The sequence below is a fragment of the Homo sapiens genome, chromosome 12 (genome assembly GCF_000001405.40).
Source record: "Homo sapiens chromosome 12, GRCh38.p14 Primary Assembly".
Taxonomy (NCBI): Eukaryota; Metazoa; Chordata; class Mammalia; order Primates; family Hominidae; genus Homo; species Homo sapiens.
Genome location: NC_000012.12, coordinates 38888157 through 38911783, shown reverse-complemented (window position 1 = coordinate 38911783; position 23627 = coordinate 38888157). Strand labels below are relative to the sequence as shown.

At 38.7% G+C, this 23627-nt stretch overlaps 1 protein-coding gene and 1 long non-coding RNA gene across 9 annotated transcripts in view, besides 3 other annotated features; one reads left to right on the top strand and one right to left on the bottom strand.

Moving 5' to 3' along the window:
* Window positions 1-2191: 2191 nt before the first annotated feature.
* CPNE8-AS1 (CPNE8 antisense RNA 1) lies at window positions 2192-6072 on the bottom strand. 2 transcript variants are annotated; one of them, XR_007063275.1, is made up of 2 exons: window positions 4787-6072; window positions 2192-2474 (listed from the first exon to the last, which is right to left on the bottom strand). It is a non-coding gene; the product is annotated as a CPNE8 antisense RNA 1 (long non-coding RNA). The 2 variants fall into 2 exon arrangements; XR_001749083.3 differs by having other exon boundaries at window positions 5091-5404.
* Window positions 4649-4908: an enhancer, noted in NCBI's record as "active region_6196". NCBI's record gives its function as "activates an Ori minimal core promoter by ATAC-STARR-seq in GM12878 lymphoblastoid cells {active_cell/tissue: GM12878}" and the evidence as "EXISTENCE:reporter gene assay evidence [ECO:0000049][PMID:35858748]".
* The window catches only part of CPNE8 (copine 8), a 254633-nt gene continuing 235954 nt past the window's right edge, over window positions 4949-23627 (top strand). For 6 of the 7 annotated variants that reach the window (XR_245896.5, XR_007063052.1, NM_153634.3 and 3 more), the window contains exon 1: window positions 6193-6347. Coding sequence is in view for 4 of the 7 variants with exons in the window: in NM_153634.3 (NP_705898.1) it covers window positions 6250-6347 (98 nt within the window). In the remaining 3 variants the exon portion in view is untranslated. Of the gene's footprint in view, window positions 5643-6192; window positions 6348-23627 lie in introns of those variants that run through there. The other variant, XM_017018852.2, reaches the window with a different exon arrangement.
* Window positions 6039-6208: a silencer, noted in NCBI's record as "silent region_4345". NCBI's record gives its function as "represses an Ori minimal core promoter by ATAC-STARR-seq in GM12878 lymphoblastoid cells {active_cell/tissue: GM12878}" and the evidence as "EXISTENCE:reporter gene assay evidence [ECO:0000049][PMID:35858748]".
* Window positions 19126-19205: a silencer, noted in NCBI's record as "silent region_4344". NCBI's record gives its function as "represses an Ori minimal core promoter by ATAC-STARR-seq in GM12878 lymphoblastoid cells {active_cell/tissue: GM12878}" and the evidence as "EXISTENCE:reporter gene assay evidence [ECO:0000049][PMID:35858748]".

Genomic DNA, 23627 nt, shown 5'->3' with positions numbered 1-23627 from the left:
TGATAATGGAAAACAAATATCCAAACCAACCCAAGACCTTCAAAACATCATGTGAAATAAATTATATGCTTAAATATGAAGTGTGAAATTCTGAAATTGAAAAGATTTTGCATTCTATGTGCTCTCTTAAGTGTAAAATTTACTTTGGAAACATTTACTTGAGACTAGGTTTACCTAAATAATCATACATGGTCCCTTAGAAAAGTGTTACTTGATTAAAATATTGGATTTACTGTCCCTAGACACTTATTCATGACAGATCTTAACTCTGTTATTATTTGTAGTATTTTAAAGTTGATTTTAAAAGTGATAGTCTTCCGACTGTCTTAGCTATTAGCAAGGTGGTAATTTATGAGGTTGGTGAGACACTGATCTTACTTGGTCACGAAGGTAACTTTAAGCAAACAGCATTAGTGATATTAACAATTTGAATGTTTGAAATGATTGAATTGTTTACATACTTGATCCACTTTGTACGGTTTAAAACCAGGTGGTTATTTGATCCAGAGAGAAGGCAGGTACTCAGAAAACATGTTTTGGCCACTCATCACAATGTCTTCCCTCATCTGTCACTCCCTAAAATTAAACAACTAGCCCATTTTTGCTGTGATATAAGTTTATTTTATTTTAAGCTGTGTCTTCATAGAGCAGGTCAACTAGCTAAAGTAATTATAAAGCTATCCACAGAGGTTAGAGAACTATGTATTTTCTTCAATTCCTGAGGGTATTTTAAAGGTGAGCATAGGGCAATGCTGGTATTTCTGACTTATCTTTGGCTAGGATAGTTGTTGGAGCCAATAGCGCAAATGTTCCATGATGAAGCTATACCCTGAAGAAATGCTCAGTCCAATTTGTTTTGGATTATGTGTGAGCTGATACATCACTTGCCAGGCAAGGTAAATATATTTTATCCTTATATTATAAGCATACACTGTTTCAGGGACATTCTTCAAAAAGTATGTTCCCTTCTTTCTGTTTTGTTGCTCTCATTGGAGACTCAACAGTGTTTTTTTTTTTGTTTGTTTTTGTTTTCTTGTTTGTTTGGTCTTTCTCTTCATGTGTTTTTCTCATTAGCCTCTCCTTAACCAAGCTATTTTGTAAATAAGTCCTTCTGAAAATAATGGTTAATAATCATTGAATTTACAAATTGAAGTCTTCTCTAATCTTGTGAAATAATAAAATCTCAGAAATGAAAAGAACTCCGTGATTCACAATAACCAAGATATGGCATTAATGTAGGTGCCCATCAACAGTGGATTGGATAAGGAAAATGTAGTACATATGCACCATCAAAATACTAGACAGCCATAAAAACGAACAAAATCATGTTCTTTGTAACACAGATGCAGCTGGAGGCCATTATTCTAAGAAAATTAATTCAGGAACAGAAAACCAAATACTGCACATTCTTACTTATATGTGAGAACTAAACTTTGGGTGCTCATGGACATAAAGATGGCAACAACAGACACTGGGGACTGATAGAGGGGGATGGGAAGGATGGAGGCAAACTTTGGGGAACTGTGCTCACTATCTGGGTGACAGGATAATTTGCATCCCAAACCTCAACATTATACAATCTATCTATTTAACAAACCTGCACATGTACGTCAGAGATCTAAAAGTTGAAACTATTTAAAAAACAGAGCTCGATGACTCAGTCAGTATAATCTTTACCCAATAATGTATCTCCTTGCTAACTTTTACTTGGTCTATAAGTGCCAGAAGGAGCTTTAGCTCTTAGATCTAGTACAGTGCCTAGTGCATAGCAGACATTGAATTAATGTCTGCTAAATCACTGATTCAGTGAATGATGGTTTATTACGTTATAGTAAATGTAACTTATCTTTGATTTTTAGCATATTCCAAGGGCTTTATGTTATTAATTTAAATGAATTTTAATAAATATAAACTTTTTATTATAAAATCTCCAAAATAAAAGTTTAGACATGTCATAATTTATATTTATATTATTAAAATTTATTTTTAAAAATTATATTCCTTTCTGTATTGTGCTAACTATAGCAACAGAATTTGAGTATACTTTCAAAGTTTTATCATTTAAAGCTTACTTCACTATGATGAATTTATAAGCACAGAACTTGAAAGAGTCAGCAAAATGGAAATAATAAATGTTATCGATATGTATTACTTTTCTTAGGGCTGCTGTAACAAATTACTGCAAGCCGAATTGCTTAAAACAACAGAAATTTATTCTTTCACAATTTTGAGGGTCAGAAGTCTAAAATCAAGGTGTTCCAGGGTCAGGCTCCTTCCAAGGTCTCTAAGAAAAACCTTTCCTGGCCTCTTCCAGCTTCCTGTGGTTACTGATAATACTTGATATTCTTTGCCTTTGGTGGTACAACTTCAGTCTCTGCCTCTATCTCCACATGGCCTTGTTCTCGGTCTGTATTTTTCCAAGTCTCTCTCTCCTTAAGCACACCACTCCACTGCTGACATATATTAAGGAAGACCTAAATAAATGGAAAGATATATAATGTTCATAGATCAGAAGATAAATTTGGATCAGATGTCAATTATTCTCTGATTTGTCCATAGAATCAATGCAACCCCAATGAAAATCTCAACAAGACTTTTTGTGGACCTTGTCTAGCTGATTCTAAAATTTATATGAAAATGAGAAGGATTAAAAATGAAAAAACAATTTTGAAGAGGATCAAAGTTGGAAAATTTATACTACCTGACTTTAAGAGTTATTTTAAAGCTATAGTAATCAAGACTCTGTGGCATTGGCTTAAAGAAAGACAAATAGGTAAATGGAATAGGATAGAGTCTAAAAAATGGACTCATAGATATATGTTAATTTTTGGCAAAGGATGCAAAGATTTTTCAATGAAAAAGGGTAGTATTTTCAACAAATGGTGCTAGCAAAATCTGATGACAATGTGTAAAAATGAGAACTTTGATTAGAAAAACCAAAATAAATTATAGAGATAAACGTAAAACCTAAAACTAAAATTTTAGGGGAAAGTATAGAAGATGATAATTTTTGTGATCTCACATTAGACAAATATTTCTTAGTTTTGACATCAATATTATGATTTATAATAGATAACGTTGAAGAACTAGATTCATCAAAATTAGAAACTTCTTCTCTTTGATAGACAGGAGAATGAAAACACAAGCCACAGACTGTCAGAAAATATTTTGTAAACCACATGCGATAAAGGTCTTGGATACAGAATAAAGAATTCTCAAAACTCAGAAATAAGAAAACCAACAACATAATAAAAAAATAAGTAAAATATATGAAGACACTTCACCAAAGAAGATACGTATACACATAGCAAAAAGACATAGGAAAATACGTTCAACATCATTTGTCATGAAGCCACATGAGATATTACTACACATCTGTTAGATAAGCTAAAATTTAAAAGACCATCATAAATGTTGGCAAGGATGTGTGCAACCAGATCTCTTATATACTGTTGTGGTAAAGAAAAGTAGTAAAACTCTTTTGAAAAAAAAGTTTAATAGTTTCTTTTTCTTTTTGAGACAGAGTCTCGCTCTGTCCCTAGGCTGGAGTGCAGTGGCGCGATCAATCTCCACTCACTGAAACCTCTGCCTCAGGGGTTCAAGAGATTCTCCTGCCTCAGCCTCCGGAGTAGCTGGGACTATAGGCGCACACCACCATGCCCGGCTAATTTTTGTATTTTTGGTAGAGACAGGGTTTCACCACGTTAGCCAGGATGGTCTCGATCTCTTGACCTCATGATCCGCCCACCTCACCCTCCCAAAGCGCTGGGATTACAGGCATGAGCCACCGCACCTGGCCTTAATAGTTTCTTAAAAAGTTAAACATACACATTCCATATGATCCAGCTGTTCCACTCCTAGGTACTTACCCAGAAGTAATGAAAACATACGTCCACAGAAAGAGTTGTACATATATGTTCATATCAGTTTCATTTGTAATTGCCCAAAGTTCGAACAACCAAAGTGTCCATCATCAGGTGAATGGACAATTTATAGCGCATATATACAATGAAATAAATTAAAAATTTATTTCATTAAATAAATGAAATTTATTAATTTAAAATAAATTAAAAATTTATTTCTTTGTATATATGAATAAATATTTAAAAAGTAGAATGAACTATTGATGCTAACATAGATGAATCTCAAAAGAACTTTGCTTAGTGGAAGAAGCCAGACCAAAAATACTACCTGCTTTATGATTCCACATACATAATTTTTAAAAATGCAAACTCTTCTATAGTGACATAAAGATCAGTGGTTGCTTAGAGGGTTGTTTCAGTGATGAAAGGAGGTACTGATTACGACGTAAGAAAACTTTTGGGTGATGGAATGATTCATTATTTTGATTTTGGTGATGGCTTCACAGGGAGATACATGAGTCAACATTTATCGAATGATGGATGCACTTTAAGTGCAGTTCATTATATATGTTATACCTCACTGAAGTGGAAACAAATTGGATGTAAGTATCCCACATGTTGACTACTAAAGTTCTCAAGTTTCATCTCTTCAGTAGGCTTCTGTAAAGTAAAATTCTGGTGAGCTTAAAAAAAAACCTAGATCTCTATGCCAAATTAACTTTGAGCAGCATAATAGAAATGCCTGGGGTTTTAGGGCATTTCCAAATCGCAGTAAACTACAGTTTAATTTGTAATAGGACAAGAGGAAGGAAAAAAAAAGAAGAAAAAGCGGTGGGTGGGGAAATCAGGAAAGGAAAGCAAGAAGAAACAGGGGAAGTACACTCGGCAGGGGAATCGGCAAGACTGCACCTACACACTCTCACCCGCCTCTATAGATTCTCTAGGCAGGAGGCTGCAAGTGGATTAAAATGTTACAACGCAAGGCAAGTCCTCCACCGCAAAAACTGCTCCTCCCAGACTTAGCCCAACCAGCTGGAAACTCCGTGCTTGGAGCGTTAAATCGGACGGACACCCGCCCCCTCTCCACCCTCTGCCTTCCAGCTGCGCCGCATCCTGTTCTCCGTCGCCGCCTGGTGGCGAGCTCCCGGGACCCGCAGGCGCTCGGGTGAGGCAGGAGGGAAGGCGCGGGGAACAAAGGTCCCTGCAGTGGAGGGGCGCCTCGTCTACCTCCGGATGCTTTTGCCACGACTCCGTCTTGGCACCAGTCTTGCTGCCCTGGAATGCAGTTTCCCAAACGCAGCGCTCACTCTGACTCCTCTCTGCTTTTATCCGTCAGGTCTCAGTTCTTGCGGGTGGGAGTCGGCTGAAGGAGCTGCGTTATATGGTTGTGACATCACCCTCCCCGGCCCCCATTTTCAGGTCAGAACTTTCATGCCTTTGGAAACGAGGGACCCAGAAGAGCCCTTACTGTAGGAGGAATGTCGCCGTTAGACCTCTAAGCTCCGAAGAACCAAGGGGAGACAGAATCCAGATTGCTTCCTTAAATCCCAAGTAGTATTGTTTTTTCCACCTTAGAGTCCGCCCCCCCGCCCCCACTTGTCCCATATATTGATCGGCCACTTTGCCACCGTGTTCCAAGGTTGGAGAGCGTCACAATGCCCCACCGTCCCCAACTCTCAAGTGGCCGACAGTGGGCAGTCCAGAAGCTGGGACCAGACTCATCTGCCCGAGGGCACAGTAGGAGGGACGGAGGGATCTCCCAAGAGCTCCGAGGGCGAGGTGAGAACCAATTGTGGGGAGGGGGACCTTATAACGGGGCAGTTAGGAACGGGCAGAGGTGCCCCCACCTCCAGCTTTCAACTCAGGCGAGGAAACTTCGAGACCTTCCCGTCCACACCTGATTGACAGAAGGAAGCTGTCGCGGCCCAGGAGGCGAGTGTGGGTGTGCAGAGGTGGAGACAAAACCTAAAAGCACGCAGAGCCGGCGAGGGCTTGCGGTCCTGGACGGTAGGGGTCTGCGTCTGGTGCCACCTTCTCCATCAGGCTGCTTGCTGGGTCCACCAAGCCTGACCCCTCCAGCCAGGAGGGGATCACGGAGTGTGTCCCCCGCCCGGGCTGCTGCCTGCCGGAAGGGGGCTGGGAAACCGGGATCCCCGCGCGCCACTTGCCTGGCAGCGTCAGTTTCACCCAGGACTGGCTAGCGGTTCCCTCGTGGCTCTGCGCGGAGGTCCGCCTCCTCCCTTCCCTCCCCCATCCCGCGCGCTGCCTCCGCCTCCTTCTTCTGCCTCCACCCTCAACCCCCATCCCCGCCTGACGGGAGCTAGCCCTCAGTCCGCCCGAGCTGTGGTTGTGGGCGCCGGACAAGTCCAAGGCGCCTCCTCCCAATATGGACAGCCGCTACAACAGCACTGCGGGCATCGGGGACTTGAACCAGCTGAGCGCTGCCATCCCGGCCACGCGGGTGGAGGTGTCCGTGTCCTGCAGGTGAGGACGCAGCCCTTCCCCTCTCTCCTGCCCTCTCATCTGTGGGGTTGGTAGCACTTGGAGAGCGCTCGGGGTACCACGAGGCTTTGCGCAGGCAAGAAGTTGCGCCATGAGTGGGAAATATCTCAGTAGTGGGGCTGGAGTTACCCCGGGTCAGGTGACACAGGGGAGCGGGAATTAGAAGCGGTGGGCTCCGGGACTGAGACTTTGTATTTTCTTTCTGGGAAACGCTGTAAAAGTTGGCTGGGCTGTGACTCAGCTGTGGGAACACCGGCCGCCGCCCACTTTACAAGCCGGTTTTCCGCCCCAAACCCGGGCTGGATGGTTGGGTGATGACCGGAATCGAAGGGGACAGCACTGCCAAAAGCTCTTGTGACCGCTGCACGCTTAGGCCCGGGACTTCCTCTGCTAGGCGTGTGCAAACCTGCTGTTGCTAGGGTTGGCTCCAACCCCGGCAGCTTCCTCCCCACCCACTTCCTGGAGCCTTCCAGCTTGCTTCTCCCCGACCCTTCCGGGCTTTTTGCCTTTTGCCTGATAGGTAGAGATTTCGGCCCTCCTTGCAGACGAATCTATGCCTTACCTAAGATCTGGGAAGTCACGACTTTTGTTTTGATTTGTTTTCGGGCCCACATCTGAGTGCTTGTAAAAACTGACTCTCGGCCGGGCGCAGTGGCTCAGTACAGTTTATACGCCTGTATTCCCAGCACTTTGGGAGGCCAAGGCGGGTGGATCACGAGGTCAGGAGTTCGAGACCAGCCTGGCCAATATGGTGAAACTCCGTCTCTACTAAAAATGCAAAAATTAGCCGGACGTGGTGGCACGCGCCTGTAGTCCCAGCTACTCGGGAGACTGAGACAGGAGAATCGCTTGAACCCGGGATGTGGATGTTGCAATGAGCTGAGATCTTGCCATTGCACTCCAGCCTGGGCGACAGCGCAAGACTCCATCTCAAAAAAAAAAAAAAAACAAAAAAAAACTGACTTTCAACCCTGTCCAGAGACTGTAAATTGCAAACTCGTTGTCCTGACCTTTCGGTTAGTTGCCCTGTAAATAAAGCAGCATCACCGCTATATCATAGATGATTTTGAGAAGGAGATGAGCGATGGTGCTAAATTGGTACTGGCCACTAATTTGCGAATTAATATTGACCCTGGAGCCCACTCCCTTGTTTGCATAATTGGGTCTGTCTCACTGGAAAACTGGCTCCTCATTTATCCATTTTTGCCCTAAGATTGTTTTTATGCCCTCACATCCTCCCTTTCCTTTCCTTAGCAAACTTGCCTTGAAGATATCTAACAAATTTGGGTGATCTTGATGTAAATAAGTTTAAAATTCCATCAATCTTGACTTTGCATTTTCACAAACTGAGCCTAAAGCCAAAGGAATTCTTTTCTGGGGGTGAAAATTCGAGCACCAGCAACCGTAGTAGAAGTATTATTTGAGGGTAGGGGACAGCCTTTATCTAGCCCTGAAACTATATCACCTGATTGTTTGCCGCCTCTTAAGACTGATCTGGGACTATGGAAATAATCATGCTGATAATGATAGCTATCATTAAGCTCTTGCCTCATTGCTGTCACTGCTTTAAGTGCTGCCTGAGATTTTTCTGTCAATGGAACAGGTGAAGCTGTTTGGAAAACTCTTTAGAGGATTCCTAGGCCTTTTTCTTTTCTCTGAAGCTTGCTTTCGATGTTAGAGGGAAGTTACTGGTATATACAGATAATGGATAGCCGGAAGTCCTACAATAACAGCATTACTAGAGTTCTTATCCTCTGCTCAACAGTCTGCAAAGTCTGAATGGCATGTGGCCTATACTTGGAATGAATATAAAAGAATATTGTCAATCAAGTCTGAATTTTTCCATGAGCTTTTTAAGGGAAATTATACCTAAACTGGTCATTCTGCCAGTAGGGCCCATGTTTAATGCAGCCCCTTTTTTGATGCATGTTTTCTGTGAGTGTGCTGGGCATACTGAAGTCAATTGGCTTAAGGCAATTTGTTTCAGTTTGCTGCCTCAGAACCTGCAAATCCCTTGTTCCAGCTTTTTTTCATAACATTGCTTTGACATTTTGTTTTTAATTTTTAAGATTTCTAACAGGAAAAAAAAATCCTGAAAGAGAACCTGAATACTTAGTGTCAAGCATCTCTGCCAGGGGCACTAGTGCTTAGTCTATTGTTTGAGTTGCTTCTGACTCAGCTTACTATTTACGATAAGTTTGAGGTAAAAAGCATCTTTTGGGCAAAGAGAAACATAATTAAATACCCAAGTTAGTGCCTTTGGAATAGGTTTGGGAATAGTTCCTGAAAAGGTGGGTTAAATTTATTTTTAATACATTAAAATTCAAAGATAAAAATATTTGAGTATTGTTGGATCTTGTAACCATAGGAGGTGGTTTAGTTTGGGCTTTGGCATCAGAGACCTAAGTACAAATTCTGGCTTTGTGACTTGTTCTTGCTACCTTGGAGTAAGTTCTTATTCAGTCTGTCTAAGCATTCTCATCTCCAAAAATAAGAATAGTTATGGTATTTACCTTATATAGAGTGTTATCAAGGTGATGTGTGAAAGCGCTTACACAATGCATGAAACAAAAACATGTTTTCAAAAATGTTAGCTATTATTATAATACTGGAAATAACATTTGTTGAATAAATGTGTTATATATGATTCAGGTATGGAATTCTGTAAAAGTCCTTCTCTTTTGAACTTCAATAAGTTGGTTAAAGAACACAAGGATAGAACCAGCATTGGGATACCTGTTCCCGCTTTCTCTATCTTCTTTGATGTGCATCAAGAACATGTTTTGTAGAAAGGTTGTGGGGATTTCACTTAGCAACAAAGCACAGTTGAAGGCCTCTGAGCCTTGCTATGGGCAGGCAGAGTAAGGAATTCCCTTGCCTTACTATACCAGAGACTTCTGAGGATTTGCCCACACTTCAAAAGCAGCTCAGATTTGAATAGGTTCTTTCTTTCTCATTCTTTATCTTTCTTTCTCTCTCTCCTTTCTTTCTTTCTTTCTTTTTCTTTCTTTCTTTCTTTCTTTCTCTTTCTTTCTTTTCTTTCTTTCTTTCTTTCTTTCTTTCTTTCTTTCTTTCTTTCTTTCTTTCTTTCTTTCTTTCTTTCCTTCCTTCCTTCCTTCCTTTCCTTCCTTCCTTCTTTCTTTTCTTTTTCTTTCTTTCTTTTTTCTTTCTTTCTTTCTTTCTTTCCTTCTTTCTCTTTCTCTTTCTTTCTTTCTTTTCTCTTTCTCTTTTCTTTTTTCTCTTTCCTTTCCTTTTCTTTTCTTCATTTCCTTTCTTTCACCTCCTTTCACTGTCCCCTATCATTAAAAGCTTTATGACAAAGTTTTTATCTTCATTTTGGGGAAGGTGAAAAAGATAAACGATTGAAGCTTGAATATAATTCATGGAAATAATTTAGTCTGTTTATTCATCAAGTGTCTGAGTGCCTTTTATATGTCTATGTTTATGCTAGGGTCCATGAGAAATGCAAAAGAAGTTCTCTGAAAATGTAAAATCTGATTGAGAGATAAACACTACATAAGACACGGTAACGGGGCTAAATTCAAAGATGAGGCTCATGCATGAGGAGGGAAAGGATCATTGTGGAATAGGGTGCTTGGAGTATATTACAAAGGGGAGAGATGGGGCTTGGGCAGAGACAAGCTGGATAGGCATGGTTTGGATTAGAGAAGGGACAGTGGTTAAATTTATAGCCACTTAAATTTGTGTTAAGGGGGTGAGAGGTACCCTTTTCTAGATGTATTTATGCAAAGGCAAGCTCCTGCTATTTGACCTCCTTCGTCTTCTACCCATTGTCTAGCTCTTCTTGCATTCATTTTCTTTTATTGTATAAATTTGTAGATTTTTAAATTAATTAGCTTACTTAATTAACTAAAAATGCCTGTAGCTGAAATGATACAACCTTGAGAGATAAACTAAGGTAATATTTCCATTTTATTCTGAAAGCTTATTACTATAGAATGAGGTAAACCCACTGGGAAAAATAATATGCAGTAATCACCTGTTTTCCTTGGGTCCTTGATTTTGTTGCACTATTTCACTGATTTTCATCATTTTCTCTGATTGAGAAGTCAGCTTATCAATAATAAAAGCAGTGAGAATATTGTGTATTTCTAGACTTTGCATGTTAGGTATCAAATGTACATCCTGTCACAGAAATAATCCTATAATGGTGATAATACTGACTATTTATTTATTTGAGATGGAATCTCACTCTGTGGCCCAGGCTGGAGTGCAGTGGTGCGATCTCTGCTCACTGCAACCTCCACCTCCCAGGTTCAAGCAATTATCCTTCCTCAGCCTCTCGAGTAGCTGAGATTACAGGTGCCTACCACCACGCCCAGCTAATTTTTGTATTTTTAGTAGAGATGGGATTTCACCATGTTGGCCAGCTGGTCTGGAACTCTTGACCTCAAGTGATCTGCCTACTTTGGCTTCCCAAAGTGCTGGGATTATAGGCCTGAGCCACTGCCCCCCTGGCCAATACTGACTTTAAACATTAAAGTGGAAGGAAGACTATGAAGTGGAAAAGGGTTGAGTGCCTACGTGGTGCTAGGCATTCTAAAAAGCCCTTCCTGACCTGGTGTAAGTCTATTGCCTCATCTCCCATCACTCCTTGCATGAACCCAGCAACTGTATATAGTCTGATAAACAGATGTGTGCCATAGCCCAAAATGCATGCCCGAGAAATACGGCTAAAAAATACTTATAAAAGGTACAGTCCCAAAGTGTGAGCGTTCATCCTAGACAACCAAACTCCTCATGCTTTTGTGGCTACACAGGTGCTGCTCTTTGCCCTGCCCTACCTCCCTTCCCCTTCTTTTCTGGATTAGGCTGTGCTCCTAAACTGGATTAGTCCCAAAGTAGCTGAGGTGTGCCAGTGTCATAGGTATATTACCACTCTTAGTCTTTCTATTCTCCTTGAGGACAAGTTTTGTCTCTTTCATGTCCATGTACTATATTCTGAGCTTGGCACAGAATATGTAGTTAGTAAATGTTTGATGCTGCAGTTCTATAGCCAAATTGTCTAATGTGGGAAGAGGGATTTCTCCTGTTAAAATATCATTCCTAGGTCCCATAGCAGATCTATTGAATCAAAATCTCTGGGGATGGGACCCAGGAATCTGAGCTTTTAACAAGTTCAAGCTGTGCTGGTTATACACACTAATTATTTTCATCTCTTGGTTTCATGAGTAAGTGACTCTAACTCTAGTCCCTTGATCTGAGTTAGTAAAACCCACCCTACTAGGGTGTTAGGAAGATACTTTTTGATGGTGTGCTGGAGCTTAAATGGGTTTGGGAACAGAAATTTGTAAGTCAGTTGTTAAAGTGACTATTAAAAATTGAATTATATAAACAAAATTAAATTATATTAAAAATAAATTTAAGAAATGCTGAAAGGTTATAACTTCCTAATTGCTTTACTACATGTTACTGTCATCTGTTTTTTTTTATAATCATCTATTCTCTATTTTTTAAATCTGTGTGTTGAAAGTATTCTGCAGTGCTGTGCTTCTGTTCTCTTCCCAATTCATGTGTGCCACCTTGGCAGCTTGAAATAAGCCATAGTGGGAATATTTACACCATGGGAATTGGCAAACACTGCAAATCAGTGTTTGACTTACCCTTTTGTCATCTGTATTTAAGAAATCATTCTGTGGGAATCAGTTGACTCTATGGAGTTTATAATAAAAGTACTATGTGCAACTTATTATTTGTAGATTGTGTGCCAAGCTACATACTCTACACATCAGTAAAAAATAACAAATTTTGTACACACAAACGTTCAGCTTTTTATTGAAGAGGTTGTTTTAAAATATATACTTGCACATCACTGTTTATGGACTTTTGGAAAAGGTAAAGCCTTATATAAAAGAAAATTATTGTTGTTTGTCTGGTTCAGTTCTGGCTATTATAATAAAGTACCAGAGACAAGGTGGCTTATTAACATCATACATTTATTTCTCACAGTTGTAGAGGATGGATGTCTGCGATCAGGGTGCCAACATAGTCAGGTTCTGATGTGAGCTTTTTTTTCAGGTTACAGGCTGCCAGCTTCTCACTGTACTTTCACATGGCCTACAGAGAGTGAGAGAGCTCTCTGGGGTTCCTTTTATCAGGACAGTATTCCCATTCATAAGGGCAGGCACCATCATCATGACCTAATCATCTCCCAAAGGCCCTACCTCCTAATATCATCACATTAGGGGTTAGGATTTCAACACATGAATTTTGGGGGGACGCAAACATTCAGTTCATAACACTCTTGTTAGACTGTCACTATTAGAAGTGGTAGTGTCAAGTTCAGCACTATCTCTGGTCTTCCTTCTCTACTGGAATAAGTGGGGTTGTATGATTTTATAATCCATAAAAGTTGTGATAGCAGGTATATTGCAGTTAGGAACTTAGAGACTTTTAAATTTCTCCCTCTCCTTTTCATGTGGTTCTCTCTACACTTTTATTCTTCTCTTACTTTGAAGTTGTATTTTTCTTTCCCTCTTTCTCCATCCACTGGTGGCATATCCTTTGCAAGTTTACATGTTACAAGTCCAGCTACACTTAGTGATTAACTGACCATCTGCGAAAGCAAAGTTAGATTCCAAGAGAGAGTGTCTGACCCTTTTTGGAGTTGGCTGTCTGAGGTAGATACCTGTGCTGTTCTAATGATCTGCGGTGAAAGGAATCAAAGCATTCAAACACAACAGTTGGAGGCTCTACCTTAGTCCACATTGGTTCATCTCTTAGCATACTTTACCTTTCTTTAGTCAGACAAAAAATTTGGAGATACTATGTAAATAGATTTTCAAGTGATGTTGTTAGTTGATAAATTAAGTTATATAAGCTAGGGATATTAGACTGCCTGTTGTGCTGTTAATGAGCCATATGACAGGTAAACAGAGGGTAAAGTTGTTGTAGACCGTAACATCCTATTCTGTCTCTGCAGCTCTTGAGATCCTGTGGTTCAAGATTGTAGTCACCCTGTAGTGCCTTTTTTGATCATATTTAGGTTTGTCTTAGCCCCAGAGTTTCAGTAAAATTTGTCCTGGGAACTTTCTGAACTGTGGCGTTGAAGTCTTAATGTGAGAGTTGCCCTGGTATATTTTTTTTTCAGAGAAATACCTTACTTAACATTGTTGTTCCACCAGTATTTTGGTCTGCCTGTGTTTTTTAGCATTTGGGGCCTGAGGGGTTTTAAAACAGCCCTGGTATGTGGAGAATGCTAATCTAGAAGCAGTTTAAAGGACAGGATCCCACAGGAGAGGGTGGTAATAGCTGTGCTCCTTTAGGTCTGTTATTTGTGTTGTAGCAGGCAGAAGCCTATATCCCCTATTTGAGTTTACTCAAGACTGAGAAGAAATACAATTCCTCTCAAAGAGATTTCATCCAGTTCTTAGCCTGTTTGAGAGCCAGTTTTGCTTAGCGCTGAAGAACGTGGGTGTAGGGCTAGATTAGCTCTGCCACTTAGTATCTTTGAAACATCTGTTCCTCAGTTTCCTCATCTGTAAAGTGGGGATAATAATAGCCCCCAGTTCTTATATTTGCTTTGAGGATTAAATAAGTTAATACATGTAAGTGAGATAAAACACTGCTTGTGACATTAGTTAAGCACTCAATGATTACAAAGAGATAATAAAAAAATTAAAATCCTTCGCTGTTGCGTCAAACTATGAGCAAATGAGTTCATTTTTGTCTCATGTATAGCATCACATTTATATTCTCTCTGTGTATATTAATATATACACACATATAATATATAATACATAATACAATATGTAATATATTAATAGTGTGTATTAATATAGAATATAATTATATATTCTATACAATATTTTTCCTGTACTTTTCCCTTAATATTATATCATGAATATGTTGTTGTTATTAGTTTTTGGAAATATAACCTTCCATGTCTGTGCAGTATTCTATTATATGGTTGTACTATGTTTATTTAACTTAACCCTTGTTTTCCAAAATTTATTTCAAAAAGTTGCTATTCAAAACAGTGTTAAAAATGAGTATTCTCCATCACAAACATCTAACATCTCTGGTTACTTTTTTTTCCTGGGGATAGTTTTCTAGAACTGAAATGATTAATAAGCTATCTTCTCAAAGGGATTTTGGTAGCTTGTTTTGGTTACTTCCATCCCATTCCTATTTAAATACGCAGAATCAAGGCTAAGCTACTGGCTGCACTTTTCTAAATACTTTTATTACCATAAGAATGTTGCATTTAGAGATTAATGAGAATTTGAGGCAGCAGAGTATAGCAGCAAGAAAATGGAATTAGAAATCAGACAGATGTCTTTAAATCTCATTTTTATCCCTTTTTGGAATGTTATTTTGGGTAACCTGTTTCAACTTTTGGAACCTCATTTCCTAATCTGTAACATAGAAATTATTTAAAAACCAAAATTTCAAGGTTGTTGGATGAGTAAATGAAATAAAGTCTGTACAATGCCCAGCCTGTCACAAGAAAAGCACTAACTGGCTATTAGTCTTATCCCAGGTTCTTCAGCATTTTACTGTGTGGCACACAGCAACATAGAAGAAGGTATCTGTACTTTGGAAAAATTTATAGTCAATTTGGGGAGCCACAGAAACATAGAACCAAGGTGACAGTGATAAAGCTGCATGTTATCCCATGCTGATTAATTCAATGTGGAGAGAGTGTGGAATAAAACAGTCGTTAGAATAGTGTGGATTTGTAAATGCACACTCAGTTTCTACAGATTCCACCCCATAGGCCCACTTCTGCCAAGACACAATCAGTCATGTGGGATTTGACAGGTAGGAGGTAGTCTGCTATAATAACCAAGTTTTAGAACAAAAGAACATTCTTGTATCTGCTCAATAAAGTCAACGGGCTGATATTTAAGACAGCTGTTTTGTGTTGGGCATGATAAAACAGATACTGCTGTAGTTGCCAATACAGGCTGAGGTAAGGCAAGTAGTTATTGCCTGTAATAAAATAGGATGTATTTAAAAGGTGCCTGACCCAGGGACCAATGATGTTCACTCCCTGATACACAATACCTTAATATTGGCAAACTTAATGACAACATTCAGTGTTAGTGCCTCTCCAGCCAGGACCATTAGCTACCAGACATTCTTGTTCAAATTGTGAGGGTTTTTGTCAGGTTTATTCTGTGAAGAATAATGTTGCAGACCTTCTGAGGGAATCATCAGCTGATTTTCTGAAACTCTGAAGAAACAAAATATCACTGATAGTCCCCAGCAAATATTTCTATTTATTAGACAGTAAACGAATTCAAATATAAGCTATTTTAATGAAGCCAAGAAACATGCAACTTTTGGATATTTGCCATCTATTTTCTTTAAATTAATCTCAAAATCTAACTCTTTGTCAGACAATGTATAAAGTGGTTAATGTGGGCTAATTCATTCAATCCTTGCAATTCTGAAAAGAGGTGATGTTATGTCCTGTTTTACAAGTGAAGAAATTGAGGTTTAGAGAGAGTATAAGTAATTTGGTTTAAGTCACGTATCTAGTAAGTGGCAAAGTTGAGTTCCTATCCATATATGTCTAATTCCTAAGCATAAGCTTATGACCATTAGCTATATTATGTTGTTCTTCCATAAATTCTTTATTGTCGGCTTGAAGAGTGGAGCTCTTTTCTGTCAATACCAGTGTGTTAGTAACTAAAAGAAATTATAAAGCTTAGGAGATGCAATTATAATAGATCATATCAACACTACTCTACCACAAAGGATATATTTCTCTGAGGATGCAAAACACAGAATGCTTTCCTGTTTTTCTGTTCCCTACTGGTGAGAGCTTTGAGTAGAGCAATTCATAGGAGTGGCATAAACTTTAACCATGTGATGTTTTATTTCCAGTATTGATTCTTATCTTTTTCTGATGCTGAGTTACCTAATGAAGATGTAGGAAATTAAGTAATGAGAAGACTATTTAGCTAGAAATCAGCAGGCAGGGTGAGATGAAAACTAAATACTGGAGAGAGGTGATAGTCTGGGCAAATGAAAAGTAAGAAAAGTTAATTGAAATGACTATGTGACATTCAAATTTACCAGTGGAATTGAGAATTGACCTCAGGCCCTACAATTTCAGTCCAGTGCTTTCTTAGCACTGGGGAAGTCACCGTTTAACTTGCTAGCTTTTCAGTAATACTTAATTCCAGAGTTTCCCTTCATGGCAAATTCATTCTTCAGAATTTCATGTAAATAAAATAACTACTTCGATATTAATATCAGTACATTATTCTGAGCTATATGAATTGTGGCATGAGTTTGTAAAAGTCAATTTTTTCTTACCTTGCTAATTAGCTTCATGCTCTCTATGTATGTAAAATAAGTAACAAGTGACACATTAATTTTATTAAGAACAATCTCAAATGTCAGAGAGTGTAATGAACCAGAGATATGATTATAATTGCCATAACTGGTTGAAACCAACATGTGTCTCTGCCTTAGCATAATAGTGGTTTTATAATCATTTTGAGAAATGTAATTGTTTCTCACTGTCTGCAGATCCTTCTTATTGCATCCATCTCCTATAACTCTGAGCATTCCTACAATCCTCTTTTATCTAAATGTACTCCTATAAAGGAGTACTCTTTTATCTAAATGTACTCCTATTTGTAGATTTTTTGGTAATTGAAAGTAACACAAACATTTTTCTTTAATGTCTTAAATAGGTTTTCATGTTTCCAAGCTATAAGTAAAGAATATGAGAGAGAGAGAGAGAGAGAGAGAGAGAGAGAGAGAGAGAGAGAGAGAGAGAGTGAGCTGGAGTGAGAGCAAGCACGTGAGACTAAGGGATACGTGGGAACTACACTAGAATAATAAATGTATTTGCTAAACCCATCTCAATTACCTACGATTTTAGATATAGCTTATTATCTGACTTATCTTGGTATCTCCACTCTCAAATTAATTATGGAAGCAGAGATATTAGAAAGTTGATTACAATTGATTTTTATGCCAGTGGTTTCATCCAAAGCCTCTTGTAGGCATTGGGGAAAGGAGGCGTAATCAATATCAAGTTACTAGTGAATTTCTCTCTTAATTGATAATTTAAATTAGTAAATTAAAAAAATTTTTTTGGGAAAAGTTTGAAGTATACTACCTAAAAGATGATTGATTTTTTAACTTAAGACATATCTTATAATGGCTTTATTTTCTTTGTTTCACTTAAATCACTGTGCCATTGGAATGTCATATATATGGCATCTTGCTTCCTTGTGGAACACTTCAGCAAAGAAACAGCATCTGTTTTGTTTCTGGAACTAGCTCTGTGAACTTTGACAATCATGCCACTTCACTGGATCTTAGATCCTATAGAAAGGTTGAGTCTCTGGTCAAGATGACCTATGATATTACTTGGAGGTTCATAATTTTATGATTGGAGAAGCAGGACCTTAAAATAAAATGGGGACATACTTCAGTTTAAGGAAATAATGTGATTGTCAAAGCCCATTGTAAACTAGTGGTGATAATTTATCTTTAATAAAACAAACAAAAAAGGCTATTTTACTTTCAAAATATTTATCTCAGAATGTCTTTAGATAGACAATTCCTCTAGTGTATTTAAAATGATATTGAAATATGAATTTTAATTTTAATCAGAACAATTGCAGATATAGAGTAAAAGTTATTTATTATCTTTGAGTTTTTTAAATAAAAGAAGGTTTGTGAAGAAAAAGTAATAGGGAAAGGAGTAGTATTGTTACTGCAAAGGGCTCCCGACCCAGACACCAAGAGAGGGTTCTTGGATCTCGTGAAAGAAAGAATTTAGGGTGAGTCTATACAGTAAAGTGAAAGCAAGTTTATTAAGAAAGTAAAGGAATAAAAGAAGGGCTAACCCATAGGCAGAGCAGCACCAGGGTGGCTGGTTGCCCATTTTTATGGTTATTTCTTGATTATATGCTAAACCAAGGGTGGATTATTCATGCCTCCCCTTTTTAGAACATAGAGGGTAACTTGCTCATGTTGCCATGGAATTTGTAAACTGTGATGGCGCTGGTGGGAGTGTAGCAGTGAGGATGACCAGAGGCCACTCTCATTGTCATATTGGTTTTGGTGGGCTTTGGTTAGCTTCATTATAGCAGTGTGTTTTATCAGCAAGGTCTTTATGACATGTATCTTGTGCTGAACTTCTATCTTATTCTGTGACTAAATGCCTTAACCTCCTGGGAATGCAGCCCAGCAGGTCTCAGCCTTATTTTACCCAGCCCCTATTCAAGATGGAGTTGCTCTGGTTCAAACACCTCTGACAGTGTTAACATATATTTAGAAAACCTTAATTTCCTCCAAACAGTTTAACTTTGTTGCCATATTACACTTGATTTTCTAGACATAGGCTCTTAAACCTTTGTGTGATCATGAGACTTTAAAAATGTAGGCTCTAATTCAAGTGTCTAAGGTTTTTTTTTTAAAGAACTATTATGTTAGATTATTTCTAACACCAACTACTTGCTATTTCAACGTCCTCATTTTCCTTAATATTCTCCCCAAGAGTTGTCAAGTTCTGCTGTTGCTGTTCTAGTTTTTTCTCTCAACAGAAATCTATAACAAACTGTATTCATGGAAATGAACAGTGTTTGATATGAATAGATATCGGTGCCTTTTCAGTAATTTACTTTTCTAATATGTTACTTTTAAAAAATCATTTAGGTCTCTTTGGCAACTAGAGAGTTTTTAGTAAAATTGTCAGATGGATTCAGTCTTGTGTGCTTCCTCTGATCAGTTGTCACTGAGTGTGGGCTACCTGGGCTTTCTGGAACAGTTGACTTTCAAAATGAAATAAGCCAACACTGTGAGTCATGTATGCTATTACTTCCCTACCATTATAATGCTTGACTTACTATATTTCATAAGCTTTATGAATGGTTTCGGTACTTTTAAAATCACCTTATCAGTCACCAAGACTTGTTTATTCCATTCTCCAAAGTGTCGGTCACCTCCTTTCCATTTCTGCTGTCTCCACTCTGGCTCAAGAAGTAATCATTTTTCCTCTTCTTCACACATGTAGTGAGCTTCACATGTTTAGTTAGCTTTGTAAACAAAGGTTGAATTGCATGATTTTTCTTTGCAGAAACTTCCACTGTTTCAGCGTGTCCCCTTTGTTTACAGAGTAAAGTCCAAGTATGCTAGCATGTGTTCAGAGTACTTACTCATCCTGCCCAGATTCCTTTCCCAGCCTTATCTCAGACATGGGCACCAGCCAAAGTGGACTAGGTGTTAATCCCCACGTTCCTTTGTGTCTTCCCTTTCTCCACCCTTGTTGACACTTTCCTACAGCCTGAGAAGCCTTTCCCCCATTTGTGGCTCTCCTTGCCTGGTTGTCAAGATTTACCTCACTCAGTGCAATTTGTGATATTTTACTAGATTCTTGAAATTGGAATTAATTGTTGCTTCCTTGGAGTTCCCAGACAACATTTCTTGTACATTCTTTTTGTTTTATTTTGACTTAAAATTTTTTAGGTTTTTGCACGCCTGTCTCCCCAACCAAGTTTAAAAATATCTATTTGTTTTATCATTGATTATTACAAAACCAGACTTTGTGCTTTGCACATGAAAGGTTTTCAATAAATGTTTGCCACTTGATAGATTGGAAGAATGAATGTGGACATCTATGAATTTGAATATGTTTATACATTATATGTTTATACCCTTAAAAATATTAGTTTATATTGGCTGGTTGTGGTGGCTCACGCCTGTAATCCCAGCACTTTGGGAGGCCGAGGCGGACGGATCACATGAGGTTGGGGGTTTGAGACCAGCCTGACCAACATGGAGGAACCCTGTCTCTACTAAAAATACAAAATTAGCCCGGCATGGTGGCGCCTGCCTGTAATACCAGCTACTAGGGAGGCTGAGGCAGGAGAATTGCTTGAACCTGGGAAGTGGAGGTTGTGGTGAGCCGAGATCGTGCCATTGCATTCCAGCCTGGGCAACAAAAGTGAAAACTCCGTCTCAAAAAAAAAAAAAATTAGTTTATACACTTAGTGAGAACACTGAAATGCCTGCCTGATTTTGCTATTCAGTAAAGATATAATTATTTAATCTTTGTTTATATAACGTTCTACAAAGTTTTATTTGTGAAGAAATGAGAAACAAATAAATTTAAATTAAAACACATTGTCCTCAAGCAGAGCAAAGCTAATTTTAGAGGTGGCCACAGTACATTCTAAATATTGACGGATAATTTGGCCAGGCGCAGTGGCTCATGCCTATAATCGCAGCACTTTGCGAGGCTGAGGTGGGTGGATTATTTGAGGTTGGGAGGTTGAAATCAGCCTGGACAACAGGGTAAAACCCCATCTCTACTAAAAAATACAAAAATTTGTCAGGTATGGTGGTGGGTGCCCATAATCCCAGCTACTTGGGAGGGCGAGGAGGCAGGAGATTCTCTTCAACCCAGGAGGCAGTGGTTGCAGTGAGCCGAAACTATGCCACTGCACTCTGGGTTGGGTGACAGAGTGAGACTCTTTCTCTCTCTCTCAAAAAAAATATTTTATATATATACATATATATATATGTATATATATAAATAAAAATGTTGACAGATAATTCGCTTAATCTGGGCATGAATACTACCCAAAAAAAGGAGACAATTTGCATGTGTGATATCCTATATAAAATACCTAAGTAGAAAAATAAGTGAACATATCTTTTACTCAAGGAAGACTTTTGTCTTGGGGAAAAATATGTCTTAAAGTACTTGGTGAACTAATAAAGTGCAGCAGCACGTGATGGTTTCACTTGGGTATAATTTAGGGTAAGAAGAGCTGTTTGGTGGCCTGGCCACTTGAGGAAGCAAAAATTTGCTTATATGCTAATGTACTTCTTCCAGACTCTGTATTTTTTTTTATCACCAATTTAAATTTTGTGCCACACAATGTAAAATAAAATTTTAGAAAAGTCAAAATCCAACTAAAGAAAAGTGTCAAGGATGAGAAGATGGAAAACAATGCTTTCTATAAAAAAAGGAAAAGACAGAACTTGTTTACACATGTTCAAGTTAAAAATGAGGAAGTTTACTTAAGTCAAGTCACTATCCATAAATCATGTCTTTCCTACACTTGTCTGGCTATAAAGTTTCCTTGGATGGCCTAAGTAATTTCCTAAGTGCTTGTAACAGCTGAAGTATCTAAGTGCTCAGTTGATTATATTTAGCCTAAAATGTTGTCATCCCTGATTACATCAAGTCTTTCCAGAGAAACAGACCTCATTAGTGGCTATAGCTATAAAATTAGGAAAAAAAAAGAAAATTATAAAGCCACTTTGTTTCAATGAGGTCAATAAATGGTAATACAAGGTGAAGATGATGATGATTGATGAACAATTTCCAGCACATATATAAAATGCTGTGATTTAAAAAATGCAACTGTTGTGTGGTTGTGTCATTTTCATTTTGGCAGCATGGTCTAAACCAGCTATTGTCAACAAGAGGCACCATCAAAATTGCTTCAGAGGTTTTGCGAACTACTTATGGGCACTCCTGAAAATTCTAGGTTGCTTTCCTACAAGGGACTAAGTCCTCCCCATCATTTTCTCTATGCCCCCAATACCCCAGTAAAACTTCTGTCAGTTGAGCCTCAGGCCTCATCCTCCCATTCCTTCTACTTCCGTATCGTCTCTTTAACATGGCTGACCATTCTGCTAACTAGGTCCAGGCCAGTCTGACCCATGCAAAGACTATGCACAAGTTCCTTGACTCTTCCAACCTCACAATCTCTGGCCAACCTTCTCCTCCTCGCCAGGAATCCTGTACTTTGAGCTGGTAGAGTTGTACTCAAAAAGGGCAAATGACATCATACTATTACTCCCTTGTTTAAGACCCTCTAGTTGCCTGTATAATGAGTCATCAGGATCTTCCAAACCCTGACTTAAATTTTCAGCCTCATCTCTTTCTCTCTATGTCCCACCACCCTCCCCTTCTCCACTTTTGCCTCTAAACTCTTTCCTAAACTCTAAGTCACTTCAGACACCTGTGTTTCCTGAGAAAACCATGATGTTCACACTGTGGTTCTCTCTGGTAGGAACAGTTTGGCCTCACGTTGTTATCTCACCTGATGGACTCTGCCGATAGTTCAAGCATCACTCATACTATGAAGACTTTTCCTGATCCTTCAGATTGACTTGCCCACCCCTCCCTTTCTCTAATTTGTAATGAATTTATTATACATATTCCACATTTCACTGCACATATTTGTTTATAAATCTGTCTCCTTAATGGAATATAAATAATCTAGGGCCTGGAGCCCAATGTGTTCATATCATGGTCTCCAACACTAAATCCTTTATCTGGCACTTAATAACCTAGTGCTGGTTGAATCAACATTTGAATGAGTGTCAGACAGCTATTAAACTGTAAATTCTCATAGGATAAGAATCATGTCTTATTCAGCTTTGCATCCCACTTAGCTTCTAGTCCAGTGTATTGCATATAGAAAGTGCTTGATAATTATTTATTCAATATATAGTTGAAGAAAGGAACGTTAGTAGAAGAAAGGCACATCACATATGAACAGGAACCATGGCTGGAAGGCCTGAAGGCCAGAAAGAGTATAGTATTAATTGAGTTGAAAAAAAATCAATTGTAAAAAGGCAGGATGAAGGAGACATAGCGAAGCAATTGCCTATGCCTGTTTCATTCAGTGGTTTTTTTAGGACTTGTAGAACTGTAGGTAGGATGGGCTGCTACTGAGATTTTGTTTCCATTGTTGTTTTGTTGGTTTTGGGGCCGAGATGAGAGCCTTTGAGTCAGGGCACACTTCTGTTCTACTCACTTCTGATAAGGATGAAACATACATATTAGGAAGTCATTTTCATTCTCCTGTATCTCAGCTGATCATTTATGCTGACCTACATATTCCCATTTGGATTAGTTCCTTCTTCTGTTTAAATTCTGTTATTGAGTCTGCAAATCTCAGATTACTCCTAGGTACTTCTGAATTGTCCAATGGTCCAAAGAAATTACAGAAGATATTGCTTAAAATCTGGAGGAAGAAAAAAACCAACCTTGCCAATCTAGCCTTACCTTTACAAGCATGTTATTGTTTTCATTGTCATAGCCTATGTATTATTTCATGCATCTTAAAGAGAGCTGGCTCAAGACAACCTTGCATATAGATAAAGATTTTCTTTTGAAATGTTGAAATGTTGAGCCTGAATATACATGACTTTTCCTCCATTATAGAAGCAACATATTATTCTACAGCTAATAGACAAAGGAACAAAATGTTAGAAAATCCAGTCATATGATCAATATATTTTGGG